Source organism: Homo sapiens, chromosome 2, assembly GCF_000001405.40.
Source record: "Homo sapiens chromosome 2, GRCh38.p14 Primary Assembly".
Lineage (NCBI taxonomy): Eukaryota > Metazoa > Chordata > Mammalia > Primates > Hominidae > Homo > Homo sapiens.
Window position 1 is genome coordinate 240,190,087 of NC_000002.12, and position 21,278 is coordinate 240,211,364.

The window sequence follows — 21,278 nt, forward strand, 5'->3', positions numbered from 1 at the left end:
GTAAGACAGGGCAGCCCAGTGTGAAAGGAAAATAAATCTTGGGACTCCCCAAGTCACTAAGCCAAAGGGAAAGGTCAAGATGGGAACTGGTTAGGGCAAACCTGCCTCCCATTCTATTCCTAAAAGAGATACCTACTAAGATAAAAAAGCTACACACCTCCCTCACAATTTGTCCACAAGGAAGTTCCTTGCAGACAAAGGACAGACAGAACTCAAAAGTCACCCTTCTGCTCACTGAGACGAATGCGTATCTGATTGCTCCCTTTAGAAAGGCTGATCAGAAATTCAAAAGAATGCAACCGTTTGTCTCTTTATCTTCCTATGACCTGGAAGCCTCCTCCCTGTTTCGAGTTGTCCCCGCCTTTCCAGACCAAACCAATGTTCATCTTACATACATTGATTGAGGTCTCACATCTCCCTAAAATGTATCAAACCAAGCTGTGCCCCATCACCTTGGGTGCATGTCGTCAGGACCTCCTGAGGCTGTGTCACAGGCGCGTCCCTAACCTTGGCAAAATAGACTTCCTAAATTGATTGAGACCTTTTTGTTTATAGCAGGGAGGTGGTGGAAGGCAGGCAGGGAGCCACCCTTCCTGTGGGTCTCCTGCTTTCCTCGGAGGCTGGAATGGGCAAGCATTTCAGCATCTTGGGGGAGGCAAGAATGCATCCAGGCTGAGGCCCTGACTTCTGCCCGGAAACTGCCACCCGCCCTCCTGGACGTGGCTCCACCTCACTCCAGTGACAATTACACATCTTTAAAACACTATTTTTTGGAAATTCTTTCCGATATAGGGAAAACAGTAAGATCTCAGAAAATTTTCTGATAAACCTTGACCCGATATATTGGATGAGCCTTTGAAATGAAAACAAACTGTTCCTTGAGAACATTTTACCCGTGGATATGATGTGGAGTCCACGGCCCCCATTCCCCACCCTTCCCATTCCCTCCCATCCCCCAAAGTCGGCGGCGGGGGTCTTGGGGCATCTGGGTGGCTCTGGGACCAGCCCACCCAACATAGGAGGGGTCACCCAGGGGTTCTAGGTTTGTCGCATCCCTGGCGGCTCACCCAGGACCCACGGTCATTCAAGCACACCATTCCTCATCCCCTCATTCAGCCGACACTTGCTGAGCACCGCCTTGGCGCTGGAGCAGTGGTTCCGGTCCATGCTGGTTGCTAGCGGCCTGCAGAGCAGCAGGGACAAGACAGCAGCTTCAGGGAAGACAGACATCAGCGTGTCAAGCGTGGGTGCCGTGGGGAAGGCAGGAAAGGCTCCCTGAGGGGTGGTGTCCAAGCTGAGAGCTGGAGTGGAATTCGGCAAAGAGAGGAGAGAGAAGAGGATGCGGGAGAGAGGCCCAGAGGAGGAAATAGACCTGCAAGGACCTCCCCTCCCCGAAGTCTGAAGCCATAGCTGATAGGCCTGCTCCACACCAAGCCCTTTCTCCTTTCCAGAGGTACCTGCGCACAGCCACCTCTGATATTTGTCATTCTCACCTCAGTTTATTCCAGCTCTGGTCATCCCTGTATGTATCACTCATGACAGCAGCCTCATCGAAGCTCCTGTCTCCTCTTTTCCCACCTGTGAACAGAAAACACTTTCTCCCCTTTCTCCCCTTCCCCTTCTTCCTTCTTTCTCCGTCTCTGTCATGCACAGCAGGCATCAGAATAGGGCTGTGGGCAGCCCTTTGCCCAGGTCAATGTGAAGGCAAAGTTCCCAAGTGCCGGCCACTCTGCACCTGTTGTCCTTTGAGGAGAGACCCCGAAGCCCCTACATGTCTACACGTGTCTCTCCACCAGCTGCCAATGTCTTCTGCTTTCTCCTAGAAACAAGTTTGGAGAAGGATGTTATTTTATTTCCTTGCAAATTCTAGTTTTGTTTTACACCTGTTTTACTGGAAATAGACTATTTTTTAAATGGACAATGGTGAGGATCCAGTAGCTGATACAGTTTGGCTCTGCGTGCACCCACATCTTGTGTTCAGTTGTAATCCTCAGTGTTGGAGATGCGGCGTGGTGGGAAGTGATTGGATTAGAGGGGTGGTTTCTAATGGTTGAACACCATACACTTGGGTGCTGTTCTCATGACAGTGAATGAGTTCTCATGAGATCTGGTCATTTCAATGTGTGTGGCATCCACCCCCCCACCACCTCCCGCTCTGGCCATGTAAGGCGTGCCTGCTTTCTCTTTGCCCTCTACCACGACTGAAAGTTTCCTGAGGCCTCCCCAGAAGCTGTCATGCTTCCTTACAGCCTGCAGAACTCTGATCCAGTTAAACCTCTTTTCTTTATAAGTTACCCAGTCGGAGGTATTTATTTATAGCAGTGCAAGAACTGACGAATACAGTCATGATCCTGTTCCTCAAAGCCAAGACATTGGAGTGGCCAACACTCAAGACTGCGAATGACCTTCAGGCACCGCCTGTGCATCCTTTATGGACCACACGGGTGTGTGCGCTTTGCACCGTGTGGCGACCTAGCATCAGATTGGCGCAGTCGTCTGAATATTTGTTCTCATATGACACAGCCGACTACAGAAGGATCTGCATGGATTTCTTTAATGGAAACTATTTGTAAAAGATAAGCTGTAAACAAAGGAAATGGTTTGGAATAAAATTGATCTTTGTTTATTGTTGTTGACACTGAGAAGTTTATATTACATAATTGTATACAACCATTATAAATAAACACCCACGAGCCTACCTCCCAGGTCAAGTCCTCGAACATGGCTAGAATCTCAGAACCCGCCAGTCCATCTCCCCAGATGCCCTCGCTCTCCACTGCCTGCCTCTCTCAATTCACAGCGGCACCCTGTGCCTGGTGGCAGCTGTCCTTTAACTTTTGGAACAACCACATCATTGTTTTTCTAAAGTTTTTCCACTTCCATTTGCATCCTGAAACAATGTGGCAGAAATTTTATATGAAAAGCTTCATTTCCTCATGCCTATAATCCCAGCACTTTGGGAGGCCAAGGTGGGTGGATCACTAGGTCAGGAGTTTGAGAACAGCCTGACCAACATGGTGAAACCCCGTCTCTACTAAATATACAAAAATTAGCTGGGCGTAGTGGTGCACGCTTGTAATCCCAGCTACTCGGGAGGCTGAGGCATGAGAATTGTTTGAACCCGGGAGGCGGAGGTTGCAATAAGCCAAGATTTCGCCACAGCACTCCAGCCTGGGTGACAGAGCAAGACTCTGTCTCAAGAAAAAAAAAAAAAAGCTTCATTCCTTATTTAATCTTTTGTGTCTTTCTTCTTACTCTCATAGATACGTTTGGGAGACGTATCTATGTGGAAGCATGTGATTATAGCTGTTTGTTTTTACTGCAGTATAATATTCAATTGAATATGCGCCCACTTTACCAGAACTAGATATTCACTCTGTTTGAGATTCCCATTTTTGATAATTGCACACAGTACAGCCGCGAGCATTCCTGTAAATGTACCCCGGGCTCAGGGCATGTGTCTCTGTAGGTGGATGGTCAGAAGTGCCATTGCGGGGCCATAGAGCCCGTGTAACCTCAATTTTTCTAGATAAAGCCAAAGCGATGTGCCCTCACCTGTGGTGTCTGAAACTTCCTTTCTCCAGCCTTGCAGCAGCTCATGTGTTGGCCTTTCAAATTCTAGCCATTCAGTAGATTGGTTGGAGGTGAATTTTTATTTTGTTTTCATTTGAAACATTTTCCATTGAGGTAAAATGCACCTAAAATAAAATTTACCATTTTAACCTTTTTTTTTGAGGAGTCTCGCTCTGTCACCAGGCTGGAGTGCAGTGGGGCGATCTTGGCTCTCTGCAACCTGACTCCCTGGTTCAAGTGATTCTCTCCCGAGTAGCTGGGATTAGAGTTGCGCGCCACCACACCTGGCTAATTTTTTATTTTTAGTAGAGATGGGGTTTCACCCTGTTAGCCAGGAAGGTCTTGATCTCCTGACCTCGTGATCCGCCTGCCTCAGCCTCCCAAAGTGCTGGGATTACAGGCATGAGCCACCGCGCCCAGCCTCATTTTAACCTTTTTAAGTGTACACTTTGGTGGCACTAAGTACATTCACAGTGCTGTGCAGCCATCACCCTCCATCTCCAGAACTCTTCATCTTAAAAAGCTGAAACTCTGCAGCCACTAAACACAGCCCCTGGCACTCACCATTCCACTTTCTTTCTCCATGAATGTAACTACTCCAGGAATATCATCAACAAAATCATGAAGCGGTAAATGTCCTTTTATAAATGGCTTATTTCATTTAGCATAATTCTTCAAGGTTCATCCATGTTGTATGATGTATCAGAATTTCCATCCTTTTGTAGGCTGAGGAATAGCCCATTTGCTATGGCTTGGATGTGGCTTGTTTCCACCAAAAGTCATGTTGAAATTTAATCCGCTGTGGGGCAGTGTTGGGAGTTGGAGCGTAGTGTTGAAATTGCATCCATTGTGGGGCAGTGTTGGGAGGTGGAGCGTAGTGTTGAAATTGCATCCATTGTGGGGCAGTGTTGGGAGGTGGAGCGTAGTGTTGAAATTGCATCCATTGTGGGGCAGTGTTGGAAGGTGGAGCGTAGTGGGGGGTGTTTGGGTCATGGGGTCAGATCTCGCATAAACAGATTAACGCTCTCTCTCCGGAGTGTGTGAGTGCTTGCCCTTCCAAAACTGGATTAGTTACCAGAGAGCGGGCTGTGGTCAAAGCGAGTCTGGCTTCCTCAGCTCTCTCTTGCTTCCTCTCTCACCAGGTGATCTCTTTGCTCATCCCCCCTTCCACTTTCCATCATGAGAGGAAGCAGCATGAGCCCCCTACCAGATACATCTGCCTAATTTTAGGCTTTGGAGCCACCAGAATCGTGAGCCAAATAAACCTCTGTTCTTTGTAAATTACCCAGCCTCGGGTATTCTGTGATGGCAACACAAAACGGACTGAGACAGCATGGTATGTGTGCTCCACACCTATCCACTCATTCCTCAGTGGGCAAGCGGGTTACTTACGTCTTTTAGGTGCTGTGAGTAGCGCTGCTGTGAACATGGGTGTACCAATATCTGTTTGAGCTCCTGTTTCATATTTTTGAGTATATGTCCAGAAGCGGGATTGATGGTGGTATGGTAGTTCTCTGATTAATTGTTTGAGGACCTTTTTTTACAGTTGCTGCACCATTTTACATTCTCACCCGCAGTGCACTGGGTTCCAATGTCTCCACATTCTTGCCAATGCTTATTACCTTCTGGGCTTGTTTGCTTTTGAGGGTTTGCTGTTGTTGTTTTTAACAGTAATCATCCTAACTGGTGTCCTGGGACTGGTGTCCCCGTAAGCAGAGCCTGAGACGAGGGTTCTTATTCAACTGACTCTCAGGAGACAGCAGGTGAATCAAGCAATAAGGGGCAGAAGCTGACCTCAGCTGGAGTTCACCTCAAGCCCGACTCCATGGGAGCTCTGGAGTGTGAATGCACCCGGGACTCGGCCCTGCTGTGAGGCAGGGGCTGCCCTGTAGTATCCTCATGCCAGCTAGTCCTTGTCCTTGGTCTGCCCTGGGTGCGGGACACAGCCCCTTGATGAAGTGGCTTCTGCTGGGCCAAGGGCAATTATTTCCAGGAGTGTCAGCTGTGAGTTGTTGGCCAGTACAAGCTGCTGCCAGGGGTGGAAATGGCAGCCAGTTAAGTGAATCTGAGCTGAGCATGGCAGTAGCTACTGCAGGGTGCAATTCTGTGATTGCCATCGAGGAGGCACATGCCCCATGATCCGTCTGCAACTGGACTTGTTCTCCGTGAAGTGTCTGTTCAAGCGTTTCCCCATTTTTCCATTGGGTTGTCTGGCTTTACGTTTATTATTTGTCTTTGAATATCTTTTGTCATTATGTGCATTGCAAATATCTTCTCCCATACTTTGGCGTACTGTTGACTTTTTAACCCGTAGAAGGAGTCGGTCTTATTAAAGACACCCTCCTCTTTCTTTGTGAAAGCCACTGATGAGATTTGGAGAGACTTCTCCCAACTCAATCTCTAAACAAACAGTCTTTCCACCAGCATGTCCACTTGAAAATTATGAAATCTGATTAAAATAAGAGAGAATACACTTCTCACAATACCTTCCACTGGAAAATCATAGTTAAAGTAATTCAGTGTGGTGCAGATTTAATTAAGATTGGATTGCGAATACTGGAAATGGTATTAGCATTCAGCATTTAGCCCCTGGAAACTCGGTGAATGTGACAGTTAAGATTTAGAGGATTTGAAATGAATTTTTTTGCAAGCTGGGCTTCCATGTGCCTATTAATTTGATAAATTTCGGAAGTTATTCACATCCCCTCTGATTTTCTTTGTTAAAATTGTCTCTGATGGAAGAGAAAAGCTCCCTCTTCCCGTGCTGCTTCTTCAGGCATAAGCAGAGAGCACAGGGCCTGAGCCCTGCCCCTAGCCAGGCCATTCCTCCTGCCTGCGCTCTTCTGCATGACCAGAAGTGGGTTGAATAGCAGCATTTACCCAGAACCCCACGGTGCAACTGTATTTGGAATAGGGTCTTTGTAGATGTAATTAGTGAAGAATCTTGAGACGAAATCATCTTAGATTTAGGGTGGTCCCTAGATCCAATGGCGAGTGTCCTTATAAGATGGGGAGAGACACAGACACACAGAGGAGAGGCCATGTGAAGACGGAAGCAGAGTTTAGAGCAACACGGCCACAAGCCAAGGAAGCCAGGGGCCACCAGAACCTGGAAGAGGCAGGAAAGCTCCTCCTTTAGAGCCTCTGGAGGGAGCACAGCCCTGCTGGCACCTTGATTTCGGCCTTGTGGCCTCCAGAACGGTGCGAGGATAATGCCTGAATCTGTTCTGGAGCTTTCCACACCCTACTGTGAACCCCTGCAGCCCACCTGCCTGTCTCTGTCTCCAGGCTGAAGTGCAGGGGTCAGGGGCTGGCTGTGGCTCTGCTCCAGGGCGGGGCATCTGGCTCACACTGGGCAGTTCAGGTGCACAGAATACCTTGCAACAGTGATCAGCCACTGCTAGGGGTGAGAATCCCACAAGGGAGATCCCACAAGGATCCCACAAGGGAGAGCCCACAAGGTTGGAGGAGCCTGTGCGGAAGCCCCCTCCACTCATGCTGGCTTTGAGTTTGCTGACGTCTTCAGCTGTCTGGTCCTCTGCTGGACCAGCTGGGACTGAGGATGGGGCTTCAGGGAGGATGAAATATGAACCAGCTGGCAGCTCTAGGACCTCCCCTGCCCCGGCCTGCCTCTGTTCCCAGCTGGGGCAGTGACTTGCCAGACGCCAAGAGTGCCCGAGACCAGACTCCTGCTGCCCACAGGCCCACACCCCATCCTGTCCTTGTGCTGGGTGTGTCCTTGGGTCTTGCTTCTCCTCTGTCCCTCCCTGCCAGCTGCTTGGGAACTGGCCTGTCTTCTGAGTTTGCCTGGACCCTTACTCCAGGCCTCTCTCTGTTCCATGCCCTGCAGCCCCAGGTCAAGCTAGGTCCACCAGAGTAGTGGCAATGCCTGATAGTGGAGGTGGATACACAGCAGCTCCTGGCCAGGCTCACAGTCTTCACAGGCTTCATGGTGCTGCGACAAGGAAAGGGGCTGAGCGAGTCATGCCCTGTCTGTGCTCATCACCATCCATCACTGTCCATCACCGCCCATCACTACTCATCACTGTCCATCACTGTCCATCACCACCCATCACTACTCATCACTGTCCATCACCGACCATTACTGTCCATCACCATCCATCACTGCCCATCACTACTCATCACTGTCCATCACTGTCCATCACCGCCCATCACTACTCATCACTGTCCATCACCGACCATTACTGTCCATCACCGTCCATCACAGTCCATCACTGTCCATCACCGTCCATCGCTGTCCATCACCATTCATCACTGTCCATCACTTCCCATCACTACTCATCACTGTCCATCACTGTCCATCACCGTCCATCACCGTCCATCACCGTCCATCACCGCCCAACACCGCCCATCAACATCCATCACCGCCCATCAACGTCCATCACTGTCCATCACAGTCCATCACCGCCCATCACTACTCATCACTGTCCAGCACTGCCCATCACTGTCCATCACTACCCATCACCATCCATCACTGCCCACCACTGTCCATCACTGCCCATCACTGCCCATCACCGTCCATCACTGCCCACCACTGTCCATCACCCCCCATCACTGCCCATCACTGCCCATCACTGTCCATCACTGTCCATCACCATCCATCACTGCCCATCACTGCCCATCACCACCCATCACCATCCATCACTGCCCACCACTGTCCATCACTGCCCATCACTGTCCATCACTGCCCATCACTATGCATCACTGCCCATGACCGTCCATCACTGCCCATCACCATCCATCACCATCCATCACCGCCCATCAACGTCCATCACTGTCCATCACAGTCCATCAACACCCATCACTACTCATCACTGCCCATCACTGTCCATCACTGCCCACCACTGTCCATCAACCCCCATCACTGCCCATCCCGTCCATCACTGTCCATCACCGTCCATCACCGCCCATCACTGCCCATCACCATCCATCACTGCCCACCACTGTCCATCACTGCCCATCACTGTCCATCACTGCCCATGACCGTCCATCACTGCCCATCACCGTCCATCACTGCCCACCACTGTCCATCACTGCCCATCACTGTCCATCACTGCCCACCACTGTCCATCACTGCCCATCACTGTCCATCACCCCCATCACCATCCATCACTGTCCATCACTTCCCACCACTGTCCATCACTTCCCACCACTGTCCATCACTGCCGTCACTGCCCATCACTGCTCATCATTGTCACTGAATTCCTTCCCCAGGGTATGCACCCGTTCCTGATCATAGCCTTTGGCCATCCAGGGAATGGGACCATGAGACATGACTGGCCCCGGAGAAGTCCCTGGTTACTTCTAAGTCAGCCAGACTGGAGCTAACATGAATGCAGTGGTTCTTAACATTTTGTGCTGCCTGGAGATGTTTTTGGTTGCCACACCTTGGAGGAGGGTGTTCTGGAATCTGGCAAGTAGAGGGCAGGGTGTGCAGGGCAGCCCCCACAACAAAGAATGGTCCAAGCCAGGACATTGCTGGTGCAGTCGGGGAAGCCCTGCTTCCCCCCTCCCCCACCGTCCTGCCTGGCCAATGCCCATCTTTTGCCCCTGCCATCACCCATTCATCACGGTCACAGGGCTCTGCAAACTGCTACAAACTCGTGGCATTTCCAGCGGCTTCCCATTCCTCACCCTAGGCTTTGAACTAACTGGGAAGGAGCTGTGGCTGGCACAGCAGGGCTGAGGCTATGGCTTGGATCTGAGGGCTTCCACCACACCCCCAAGCCTTGGCTGGAACCCCTGTGGGAGAGTTGGGTCACTTTGTTTCAAGGAACATTTGAATGCTTCAGGTTCCGGAACAAGGGAAGGGAGTGGATCCAGCCTGGCTGGCAGCTCTGAGAGCTGTGGCTACACGGGGCACCCAGGCCCACCCACCCTCTGCACCCCTCACATGAGGCATCCCCGGGCAGCCCCTCACCTGGCTCCAGGGGCCAGCTCGTGTGAACCAAGGCCCAGGCCTCCATGGCCTTCTGCCCGCCGTGGCCAGTCCTCATCTCCTGCAGGGTGATCGATGGCAGGAAATCCACTCCTCACCTTGCCCGGCTGCCTTCCCGCCCCCCAGCAGACCCGGGCAGGAGAACAAGAGCACCTCAGCAGCACACTTCGGGGTCCAGCAGTCCACTTCTCAGGGACCCCTGGGGCTTCCCAGGGATTTTCAGACACTGCCTTGACATGATGTCACTAAGGGGTCCTTACCTAACTGAGTAGGGACCCCACAAGGGGACAAGAATGTCTCCCCCAGAACAAAGACAGTCTTTTCCCCTGAAGAGAGGAGGTCTGGTCCCCACCTCCTTTTATTCTCAGGTCTACCTGTGACCACATAAGCCACACTAATAGAATTCAAGCAATGGCTTCAATCCAGGTCCAGTCATTTCCCAAGACCTTGCCTTCACTCCCATCATCATTCACCGTGTGCTACATTTAGTGGGGCACTTGCTGCTGGTTTTTAATAATGGAATATATAATTCACATTATATTGAGAAAGATTTCTTCATTTTCTACTTCTCACAAGAAGCTTTAACACCAAAAGTCGGCGTGATGGTTTTAAAAGTAGGCCCACAGATTATCTGAAATGCCCTCCTGAAGGGTGGAAGGTGGAATTGAGTTCTCTTCCCTTGAGCGTGGCTGTTCATGATGAGCTTCTAACAATAGCACAGAGCAGAAGCGATGGTGGAGGTGAAAACCCGACTGGCACAGCTTATGAAAACGCTGCAGCGTCTATCTCGGGCAAGCTCTCTCACTCTCTCTCCAGGCCAGCTTCCTGACCACAGATGCTGTGAGATAGCAAATGTCTATTGTGTAAAGCTGCTAAGTTTTGGGATGATTCGTTATGAGCACTGATAACTAACACAGCTGTCAAACATGCATTTTGTGCTTGCATCTGTTTAAAAATACCACTTGTTTTTCTTTATGCTGTTAGTGTCATGAACTATTTCTTCACAGTTCCCACACTAAAACCTCCATGTCGCTGGATAGGCGTTACTTCCTCAAGGCCTTGCTTCCAGCCCGTGCTCTCCACCCTGCTCATCGTCCGCCGGGTCAGTGCGGGGCTTCACCAGCTGCACTGTGGGAAGGGACAGGCCACCTCTGACCACCGGCCTGCCTGGGATGCACTCACATACCACGGGAGGAGCCCATTGCACGGCGACGCCCAGCTGCTCCGGATGCAGGGGAGGACAGGCCAGTGAGGGCTGAGGGTAGCGAGGCTTCTGCTGCAAACCAGCTGTGCCGACTCAATCCCTCCACCCCCCGGCTAATCCCAGCTGCAGCTTCTCCCAGCCTCTAGCCATTCCTGTCACTGGCTACATGGCGGTACTGACTTGAATTTTCAATATCAGATGTTGCCCCCATTTTTACTCCAAAAGCTAAAGGTTCAGCCACCTTGCGCCATCTTCCCCTTCCCACACCACACTTTGCCTTCCCACCAGACCCGCACTGAGTTAGACCACAGCTGGGTTAACTCTGCACTCAATGTTTGCATTACTCTTTGCAAATATTCCCCATGGCTGCTTTTCTGACACAGATCTTCTTCCATGGTTAATCACTGCCTTGCTCTGTCTGCTTAATTTCTATGTACCTGTCGTGAGTGCATAGACTCAGAGCTTTGGCTCTCTGCTTGTTGCTCCTGGAGCTGTCCATGCCCCTGTTCTAGAGCTGCTGCCCCAGGACCTCCCGTCCTCCCAGGAATTCCTTCTGCCTTTGTCTGGGGAGAACGGAGCCCTGGTCCTCCACAGCCCCTGGTCTCTTGGCTTATCCTCCTTGAGCCTCCTGAGAAAGGGGCAAAGGAGGCAAATTGCCTACTTTATCAATTGCATGTTCATGCCCCTTCTCCCTTCATTCCGCTGGATTTTTACCATTTTATCTGGTGGGCGTGAGGACGCCCATCAGACGCTAATGCATGCAGGCTTTTAAATTTGTAATTTTATATTAGTTTGAATGTACATTGGAAACCCCTTATTGTTTCCCTTTCAGCTTCTTTATGAGGTTTTTTTTTTTTTTACCTTACTGACTTAAAAAATGCAATCAACTTGGTGTTTTTTAAAAATACTTTCTGGCCTTGTTAGGCTAAGAAGGGACTTTCCCTCCTCAACATAATATTACACAGCAGTACTCCATGAGTTTTTTAAATGTATGACCCTTTTACCTATTTAAAAGTAGTTTTTGTGAGGCTGCAAAACATCTAGTTTGCTTCTTTGGCCGTGAAATATAGTCAACAAACACATGAGAATATTATCATCTCACTGAAGAATTAAAAATTCAAATGGAAATAGTGAGCAGGCATTTTCTGCTTCCCAGAGCGCCCTGTGTGACAGAGGTTGGCATCGCCTGATGACGGCTGGGCGAGGGGCTATGCCTGCCTGTGTGTCATGGATGGAAACACACAGGGCACCGCTGACAGGGAGAGGCATGAGGACGCCCATCGGACGCTAATTCATGCAGGCTTCTGGCCCAGCAGTGCCACTGTGAGAACTTATTCTCCAGAAGCACTCATACAAGAATACAAACATGCTCACTGCAGCATTATTTTTAAATCCTAAATAACTAGAACCAAAGTAGTGTCCATCAAAATGAAGTTGGTTAAGTAAACCAGTGCACATCCATTATTTATTACAGCCTTCACAATAAATGGAAAACTGTGGTGTGTGTGTGTGTGTGTGTGTGTGTGTGTGGAGTGAGAGAGAAAGGAAGTTGTATCTATATTGATCAACAGAGACTATTCTCCAAGATAATTTCTGTGCACCAATGCAAACAGTAAGTGACAGAATAGTGTAAGTCATATAATTCCATTCTCAAAAAAAAATGTAGAGTTTGCAAGGAAATACACCAAACTCCTCTCTGGAAGGTGAAATTTCAGTTGATTCTTTTTTCCATTTTTTCTTGCTCTTTCTGAATTTGTGACTTTCTAAAAGTTACAGTGAACAAAGATCATTTAAAACATAAAAACAATAAAGCAATTTTTCAAAGGAGCTATTAAATTGTAAACCAGAATAACAAGAGACCCATAGACACCAAATAAGAAGGTTTCCCCTGGCAGCTGGGAAAACGCCAGCTGGGACTGGCTCTGCGGGGGCCACACTCCCTCCACCTCACCCTTGCAGAGGGAGCTGGCTCTGGTCCCTCCATCTCTCGGGCTGCTGCTGTGGTTTTGGGCGTCTGAGAACAGAGGCTGGGGGTGAAGCCCCAGTATCCCCTTGGCATTCACTTCACACCTGCTCCACACTGGACAATGTCTGTCCACACCATTGGCCATGCCCTTTTCCCTCACTAGGGCCTCTGGGAGGAGCCCAGCTCCGGAGATGACCAAGACCTGAGCCTGGACTCTGGGAAGGGAAGGGTCACAGGATGGCACCATCCCCAGGGTGCAGTAAAGTTCCCAGGGTGCAGTGGGGGTGCAGGGTGGTCATTGGCCTGAGCTGGAATCTGGAAGGCTTCCTGGAGGAGGTGGCAGCTGAGACTTGGAGGAAGGGCAGGAGTGCGGGCAGGTGGAGAGGCAGGTGGTGTTGAGCAGAGACCATGCTGAGAACCGCCAGGTAAGCTGTCATATGTGAATATTCACTGAGCCCCCGCTCTGCACAGGGCTAGTGCAAAATGCTGGGCATTACAAGGGGCCAGGAAGAGACTCCCTCTGCCTGCACAGGACTCTGTGTTAACAAGAGAGAAGGGCTGGATGCCCAGCCCCTTGGGTGTCCCATGTGGTCTGCAGCATGTGGGGAATGTCCATCAGGGCACAAGAAGGCCTGAGGCACACAGCAGATGCGTGCGGGTGTTGGCATGGCCTCTGCGAAGGTGGTCAGCCATCCAGGACAGCTGTCGGTTTCTGCTTTGAGCCTGTGTGGACCAGAAGGAGAAAGGAAGTATTGGAGGGAAGGAGCGTAGAGGGGAGGGGAGAGCCAGAGAAATGTGTTGGGGAATCTCATTAATTCCAGCATGCCCTGCTGTTAATTACATAGAAATTAAATTGGCAATAATTCAAGCAGAAAGCTTTCATGTGACGTCACTCCACATTCCTCGCTGAAGCGCCGACTTGCTCTAATTAGCACAAGGATTCCCGGTCCTTTGTCATCTCTGGTACCCAGCTCCTTGCTTGGGCCTGGCCTGTGTCTCGACTTTCTTCCCCCAGGCTCACTCATCCATCAAAATGAAGTCAGTGACTTGCATCTTTAGAGTCCAAGCTTGGAAACCTCCGAACTTGGAGGAATGGAATCCAAGCTGGGGAGAAGGTGGGAAGTGAACCTACCTCTTGTTGGGGGCCGTGACTGAGAGGGCAGGGAAGCAGAGGGCTGAGGGACTCCTAGGAGCCGGAGCTGCTCTGCTCTGTGGACCCGCCTGGGTCCTGAGATCAGGGGCCACGTCACAGGCGACTTCCAGTGCAGCTGAAGTGTGTAGGTGCCACACCCTCCACATGGTGCCCAGCCAGGGCTTCTGGAATGGGAGGGGCCCTGAGCTCCGGTCAGCAGGGCCAGTGGTCACCCGGCCCGCCATTTTCCCAGCACAGCCAGCTCACGGGCCTGCTTCTGCCCCTTCCAGTGCCTTTCTTGGGGAGGAAATAGCAGGGGATTATCCAAAACCCCGACTCCCCCTGGTAATGCTGGTAATTCTCCTTCCCTCTCAGCATTTCCCTTTGATGCTCTAAAAGCTGAACCTCCAATTTTACCTGGTTGGCTCCTCTTCCAACTGCCTATGTAATGTGATTGTCCCTAATGGAACCAGCCTTGAATAATTGAACAGAGCTGGAACAGGGGCCGTGGAAGTTGTGACTGCCTTCACTCCTATATTTAGTGCAAAGGGGAAACCGAGTTCACGCGTGGTCAGGGCTCTGTCATGCCCGAAGCTCAGGACACTCTCGGACTCTGGTCTGGGGCCGGGTTGAATAGAGGCCCTGTGCTCTGTGCCTCTGGGCTTGGCCCCATCCTCACCCCATGCTCCCCTGAGCGTGTCCTGCTGTACTGGGCCTCAAGGGTCGGCTGTGTGATGGCAGGGTCCTGGCTCCATCTGTCCCGGCTCTGCCTCCTGAGTCCTCGGCACTTCTCAAGGGGTGCTCCCTCTCCCCCACCCTCAGGGCCAAGGCTGCCAGTCTCAGCTCCCAAATCCATCTGTTTCCCACCCCTTGTCACCACCCCCAACCCAAAGCCTCCCTGTCCTCATCCACACTTGCCGCCATCCTCCCCTCTGGCTTCTTCCTCTCCCGTCTGACTTTCTTGCATATACCAGCCGTGTTCCTCAACAGAAGCACAGACATTCCTCTGTCCTTCTCAGTGTTCCCCCAGGCTGTGCCATTTCCTGGAGCAAAACACACACTCCTGAGCATGATCTGTGATCCTGGCCCTTTTTGCAAAGCACAGGCTGCCCAGAGCCTGTGCCTATCAGCCTGGCTCCAAGGGCATCTCCTGACCTCCCTGGCAGGAGCCGCAGCATCCATGCCAAGGGGTGGGAGCAGGGCTAAGCAGCTACCAGGGATGTCAGCCCTGGCTCTAGCAGAGGATGAGGGAGCTCCTGCCTCCAGACTTCGGGTGGACGCTGTCCCTGAGAAAATGTCCCAAATGAAGTCGGCATCATGACCTCCTTCTTCAGAAGGAAGGAGCTTCATTGTTTGCAGCAACTACATACTCAGCTGTGTTTGTGTGAGGTGTGGGCTGAGAGTGAGGAGAGGGAAAGAAAGGGAGAGAGGGAAAGGGAGAGAGGGAAGGAGGGAGAGGGAAAAAGAGACTGACAGCCCCCAGGAAGCCTGTGACTAGAAGCTGTTTCAGCCAAAGGCCAACCTTCTCTTCCCTGTGAGCAACACTTTCACAGCATCTCTGGTTCTGCAAACCCAAAGGGAAAATCCCGAGCAGTGACTAAAACTGCTGTCATCACCACAGGCCATGCCCACACCTGCCCCGCCCCTCCCAGGAGGACCAGCTGCTGGCAGAGCTGCACAGGGTCAGAGCCCAGGCCAGCTTCTGTGTGAGTCTGTGGTGCGCCCTGGGCACAGAGGGATGGGCAGTGGCTGGGGAAGACAGCTCAAGTGTCAGAGCTACTCAGCTGCAGACTTCCTTCCCACCTGCTGGGGATTCTTTCAGGAATTGTTCTGGGGAAAAAAAAACAAAACAACAACAACAAAAAAAACCACTTTCTAACCAAGAGGAGCTTTCCTGGCAGTTCTTAAAATAAAAATGTTTGCCCTTATAGGGGGATGAGTTTACCATCAAGAATGAAGACTCTCCAGCTTGCATCTAAACACGTGAATACAACAATATGGTTGTTTAGAACAAAGCCATTCAGAGGGGCCCTGGTAGACTGATGTTCACATTCACAGCAGGCAAATGCAAATGGCCCTCCACTACTGAGGAGAAAAGGCAGGGCCATGATATGAATTTCAGGCTGATTTGCATTGAAAGAAAAAAAGAAGCATTCGACCTAAAGAGATCACTTTCTAATGATCAGGGTCACAATCCACTTCAAAGCTATTACTCACAAACAAAATATGGCAAATAAATGACATTAAGCTACGTAAACAGCTGGAAACTCTACAAAGAAAAATCCACAAAAATCCAATAAGAGTGGAAGACATCTCTCAATCCTTAACAGATCAAGTAGATTACAAAATGATTAAGAATTTAGAATATGAGCAAAATTAAATTAATGAGAAGTTTAAACATCTAAGTATGTATCCTGCATACAGAAAATACACTCATTTAAATACCCAGGAAATATTTACAAACATACACCACGTACTGGACCTGTGAGGTCTAAACATTTTTTATCATGGGCCCTCAATATGGATACCTATTAATTTTACTTATAAATTATCATTCACAATATATGATATGGATATATAATATCTCATGTCCATTATAAAACATATGCAATGCTTGACATTTGAAAAGCTGTGATAACAGCGTGCATACACAGAAGCTTTATCTTTTCTCCCTCTGGTAGATTGATGTGTGCACCTGCTGGAAGGCACACCTTACTTAAAATACATAAAACACTATTTTTTTGCAGCCAGAATAATACTCTACTAAAATCTGTCAAGCACATTACAAAAAAGAAAAACCTGCAGATTTTCGATATAAACATCTTAAGCAAAATATTATCAAGTAAAATTTATTAGTAATTGAAAAACAAAATCCCTGAGTCATTCACTCTAAGAATGCAAGGATGGTTCAATGTTCAGAAATCTATTAATTTCACATATTAATAGGTAAAAGGAGAAAAGCATGTGTTCATGCAGCACTTTTGACAATAGTGGAAAATTGGATATGGACCAAGTACCCATCAAAGTTACAGAAGATGAATAAATGATAGGCCATCCTCATGATGACCTGCTGTGCAGCTATTTAAAAGAATTAGGCCGGGCGCGGTGGCTCACGCCTGTAATCCCAGCACTTTGGGAGGCCGAGGCGGGCGGATCACGAGGTCAGGAGATCGAGACCATCCTGGCTAACACGGTGAAACCCCGTCTCTACTAAAAATACAAAAAAATTAGCCAGGCGTGGTAGCGGGCGCCTGTAGTCCCAGCTACTCGGGAGGCTGAGGCAGGAGAATGGCGTGAACCCGGGAGGCGGAGCTTGCAGTGAGCCGAGATCGCGCCACTGCACTCCAGCCTGGGCGACAGAGCGAGACTCCGTCTCAAAAAAAAAAAAAAAAAAAAAAAAAAGAATTAAAGAGAGCTAGATGTCCTGCATCGAAAGAATTTCAGCATTAATTATTAACTGAAAACAAAAAGCAGAAAAGCAGCATATTAATATATAAATACATGAGCCATAGGATAAAACACTGTATTTATATCTAAATATGATGTATAATTTATATATAAATTGTATATGCATAATTCACAAACAATTGATACGTAATATAAGATATAATTTACATCCATAATTTATATGCATATGTGTGTTTTTCCCCCATGTAGTACAGGCCTCAGCAGCCTGGGCACACAGCAGAAAGCCACTCTTACTGTTCTACCCAAATGATGCCCCAAGCCCTCACCCAGCCCCCATCCCAGAAAGCTGCCTCTCCAGAGACCTCAGGCTGCTTGGAGGCTCTGCCCCACCCTGGCAGCCTGGTGTGCTGGCCGCTGGGCAGGGCAACATTCTCCCAGGGAGGGTCTCTGTTCTCCTCTTGCTCAGCAGTCAGTCCTGTGGTCTCTGCACCTGGCCCAAGGGCGGCCTCACTGCAGAGCACAGTTCAGGGCCCATCTCACCTGGACAGGCAACCCACACCCCTCCCTGGTTCCACTGGGACGGGAACCCTCCTGGAGGCAGGAGGCTTGTCTATTGTTTGAAGGGTGCTTGTGGGCCCCTCAGGTGTGTGGGTGCTCAGGTGCACCCTGGGCCCTTGTGCGTGTAAGCAGTGACACCCTGCCTTTCTGGTCCCATGCTAGACCCACAGGAGTTCCATGCTAGACCCACAGAGTGTCGTTACACTCTGAGCACCAACTTGCACACAAAGACCTCCCTCCTCCCTCCATCCAAAAGGCCTCTTCTTTTCTGTTGCTAAAATTGATCGTCACACTGGACAGCCAGCCATGGGTGCTCTCAACCCCTTTCTAAGGGGAGTCCTCCTGAGCCCCACCCCATGTGGGCTCTCTTCTGGGGGTCACTGCTGGGAGTCAGGACCTTGCTCTGCGGAGGATGGAGGCTGCTGGCAACCTTCTACCTAATAAAGAAGTCCAGAACAGGGCTCCTGGCAGGGAGAGAGGAGAGGTCCCAGCAGGCCCATGGTTTTCATAGTCCAGGGTCTGGTATTTAGAGAAAGGAAGAAGTACTGGATAGGGCCACCAACAGGGGCCCCAGAACATTTTACCCCTGTAAGGGCAGGGACAATTTGGGGAAAGTGACCTAGAAATGAATCTTTGATCAGGCCCACAGTCCTCACCCTCACCTTGGCCCCGGGCATTCGCCTTCCAAGTGTGCTGTCTTGAGCCCCTGTGGCTGTCTTGGTGCTAACTTCCTGGCCCAGAGGTTTCTGCAGGCCTTTTTTGGAGGAGCTACTTCTGCGCTCACAGTGTCTCCTTTGCCTCCACAGGGGTCGTGGCTGTGAGCCCGACTCCAGCCCCCATGTGCCTCCTGGGCTCCGCACATGCCTGCCCTGGCTGGACACACCCAGCACCGCTGCTGGTAGGCTGCTGCCACCTGGGCCCTTGCGTGGCAGGAAGTGAGGGAGGCTCCATGGCATCCTCAGCCCAGAGACACCAGGGCCTCCGATGGACTCAGCATCCTGGCTGCCTCCACCCCAATTCACCTCAATCAGAAGGCTAAAGAGGCAGTGGGGCACCTGCCTGCCTGGCAGAGCTGAGGCTCTGAGCAGCCCGAGGAGAGAGGGAGGCCCAAGGCCTCAGCAGGGCCCAAAAGGCCAGAGGGCGCCTTGGCCAGCGGCAGGAGGAGTCGCTGGGGAAGCAGCTCTTGCTCTGGGCAGGCACTGCAAACACCCCGTAAATGCCACTTAAGATCTGAATCATCACTATGCAGCCTCGAAAGCCTGACATCCATCATTCTGCCGGCCAGTCCTCCCTGAAGGCAGAATGACCATGCTTAGAATATGACTGCCTTTCATCTGAATTATGCCCCAACAAGGATTACAAATGGCTTCCTGGAACAAGAGAGACCATTCAACCCAGGACATTGGTCCTCACTGCACAGGTGGAGCAAACCCCCGTCCTCTGGGTGCTCCTGGCTGCAGGCTGGCTCTCTTGATCACCTCCATGGACTGAGGATGTCAGGAGCTGTTGGGACGTGTTGTGAATGGTGATTTCTGTCCCACGTCACTCCAGTGGCCATGGTTTCTATTTCCTGTTTCTGTTTCACCTGGTTCCAATTCTTGCTATCTGAGGCAGTAGTTGAGGTGGCTGTCCCTCCTCTCCCGGGCAGGGAACCTGCTTAAGTGGCCTTCAAGGAAGTGTTGGAGTTCTCCTCCAGGTGTGCCCTGCCTCAGGGTGTCTGCACTGGCTTGGGCCCCAGCCAGCGTCCCTCGAGGCCTAAACCCGGGCCAGACTCCCACTGTGTGCCCGGGTGCAGTGGGAGGCTGGCTCAGCAGGGGCACTCTGCAGGTTTCCAGGGTCAGGTCACAGCTCTGTCCCTCAGCTCTGTCCCGGCCAGGAGTCTGACCTAAGTGCTGAGCAGAAGCCACAGCATTCTTGCTTAGTTGTCTTCTGTTCTATGCCAGGCACCCCCGGAGGTTGATCGGAAGGTGCTTCCCTTCTCTTCCCGAGCCTCACCTGCCAGAGTGCATGTCTCCCTTTGCGGGCCATGAAGGTGAGCGCTACCTACCTGTCCTCACAGGTGTGTCTTCCCCTCCATAGCACTTCTCACAGCTGCAGCAAGAGAGACAGTGATCAACAAATACCTTTTCAAATAAATATACGAAGAGTTTTGATAAATATACACCTGCTGTATCTGGAGAAAACACATCCGAAAACCTGCTCCTGAGGTGCTGTGCCCACAGTCTAAGCTTCCACCAGGACCCTCTGGGGCAGCTCTCCCCTGACCTTCTGGGGGGTTCTGCTGCTCCCACTTGTCCCCATGTCTATGCAGATTCTACCTTCCAGGCCCCCAGGCCTTGAGCAGACCTCCAAGTGGCCACAGCCCCGCCACCCCGCCCCTACTCAGTGCCTAGTGCAGCCTGTTTTAGCTCACCGACTGACTGGGCAAACCCTGCCCGTGTGTGTCTGTGCTCGGCAAAACCCGAGCTGACCCCGCGAGGGGCCTTGTGCCCCCATCCAACCACCCCTTCATGGCACCCAAACCTCTTCTGGTGCTGCTGCCCAGGATCCCGTCACAGCCCTCACTGCAGCCCCGCCCCAGCCCCGTTCTCTATGGAGGGCAGGGCTGGTGCACTGAGGTTCCCCTTTCCCTGCACTATGGGCCAGCCTGAGTCTCTGGATCCCAGGGCTGAGGGCAGAAGGCACAGGGGTGTGGGATACTAGGCAGGTACTAAGTGGGGCAGGGGATGACTGTACCTCTCGGTCTGTGCCCACTGACAGGCCTGATCTCCCAGGGACCTTTGTTGGCCGCAGCAGAAGACAGCTGTGTCCAGCATGCACCGGCTCACCTGGGGAGCCAGCCACGCCCCCAGATGGGGCCCCGTGGAACCCTATTGCCTGCTGAGGGGACCCTCAGCCCTCGTGGCAATGGCACAGAGCACAGGGGTGGGGGCAGTCTGCAGCGACCTTCTGAGGAAGAACAGACAGGTGAGGAAGCCGTGACTCTCGAGGCCTTGGCCCCAAGCAAAGTAGAAGGAAACTTCTGGCTGAAAAGGAAGGTTTATGCACGTGCCTGATGTTCAGTCTACACAGCGTCCCTGGGTGGAGATTGGAAACCCTTGCTGAATGCAGTGTGTGGCCCCACCCCTTGCAGGAATCTGCATTTCATGGACAGAGGGGTCCCCCCTTGAATTTCCAGTCTTAGCCAGTATTTTCTTCTCCATATCCTTGCATTGACCTTGGCATGACTTCTCGAAACTTTGTGTGAAGTGTCATTCTGCTTTTTCTCCTTGGCACAGGTGGGGCCAATAGCAGCAGCCCCTCCCATACGTTTGCAATGAGTGGGGGTGTGGGGTGGTTGGCTGGAGCAAGGGGCCAGCGACTCCTGGAACACTGAGTTGGCCTTTCCTCCCAGGTTCAAGGACGGCTCCACTACTACGCAGTGAGGGTCACTGGCCACAGGGGAGGAGGGCACAGTCAGGCGTGGTACCCAGGCCAC

At 51.2% G+C, this 21,278-nt stretch overlaps 3 annotated features.

Annotated features, from left to right (window-relative positions):
• Positions 8,222 to 8,394: a silencer, noted in NCBI's record as "fragment chr2:241137725-241137897 (GRCh37/hg19 assembly coordinates)". NCBI's record gives its function as "represses an EF-1alpha promoter that drives an FKBP-Casp9 reporter gene in an ReSE screen in HepG2 liver carcinoma cells {active_cell/tissue: HepG2}" and the evidence as "EXISTENCE:reporter gene assay evidence [ECO:0000049][PMID:32094911]".
• Positions 10,250 to 10,751: an enhancer, noted in NCBI's record as "H3K4me1 hESC enhancer chr2:241139753-241140254 (GRCh37/hg19 assembly coordinates)". NCBI's record gives its function as "activates a minimal SCP1, AML or CMV promoter by ChIP-STARR-seq in primed H9 embryonic stem cells {active_cell/tissue: H9 hESC(primed)}" and the evidence as "EXISTENCE:reporter gene assay evidence [ECO:0000049][PMID:30033119]".
• Positions 15,258 to 16,147: an enhancer, noted in NCBI's record as "NANOG-H3K4me1 hESC enhancer chr2:241144761-241145650 (GRCh37/hg19 assembly coordinates)". NCBI's record gives its function as "activates a minimal SCP1, AML or CMV promoter by ChIP-STARR-seq in naive H9 embryonic stem cells {active_cell/tissue: H9 hESC(naive)}" and the evidence as "EXISTENCE:reporter gene assay evidence [ECO:0000049][PMID:30033119]".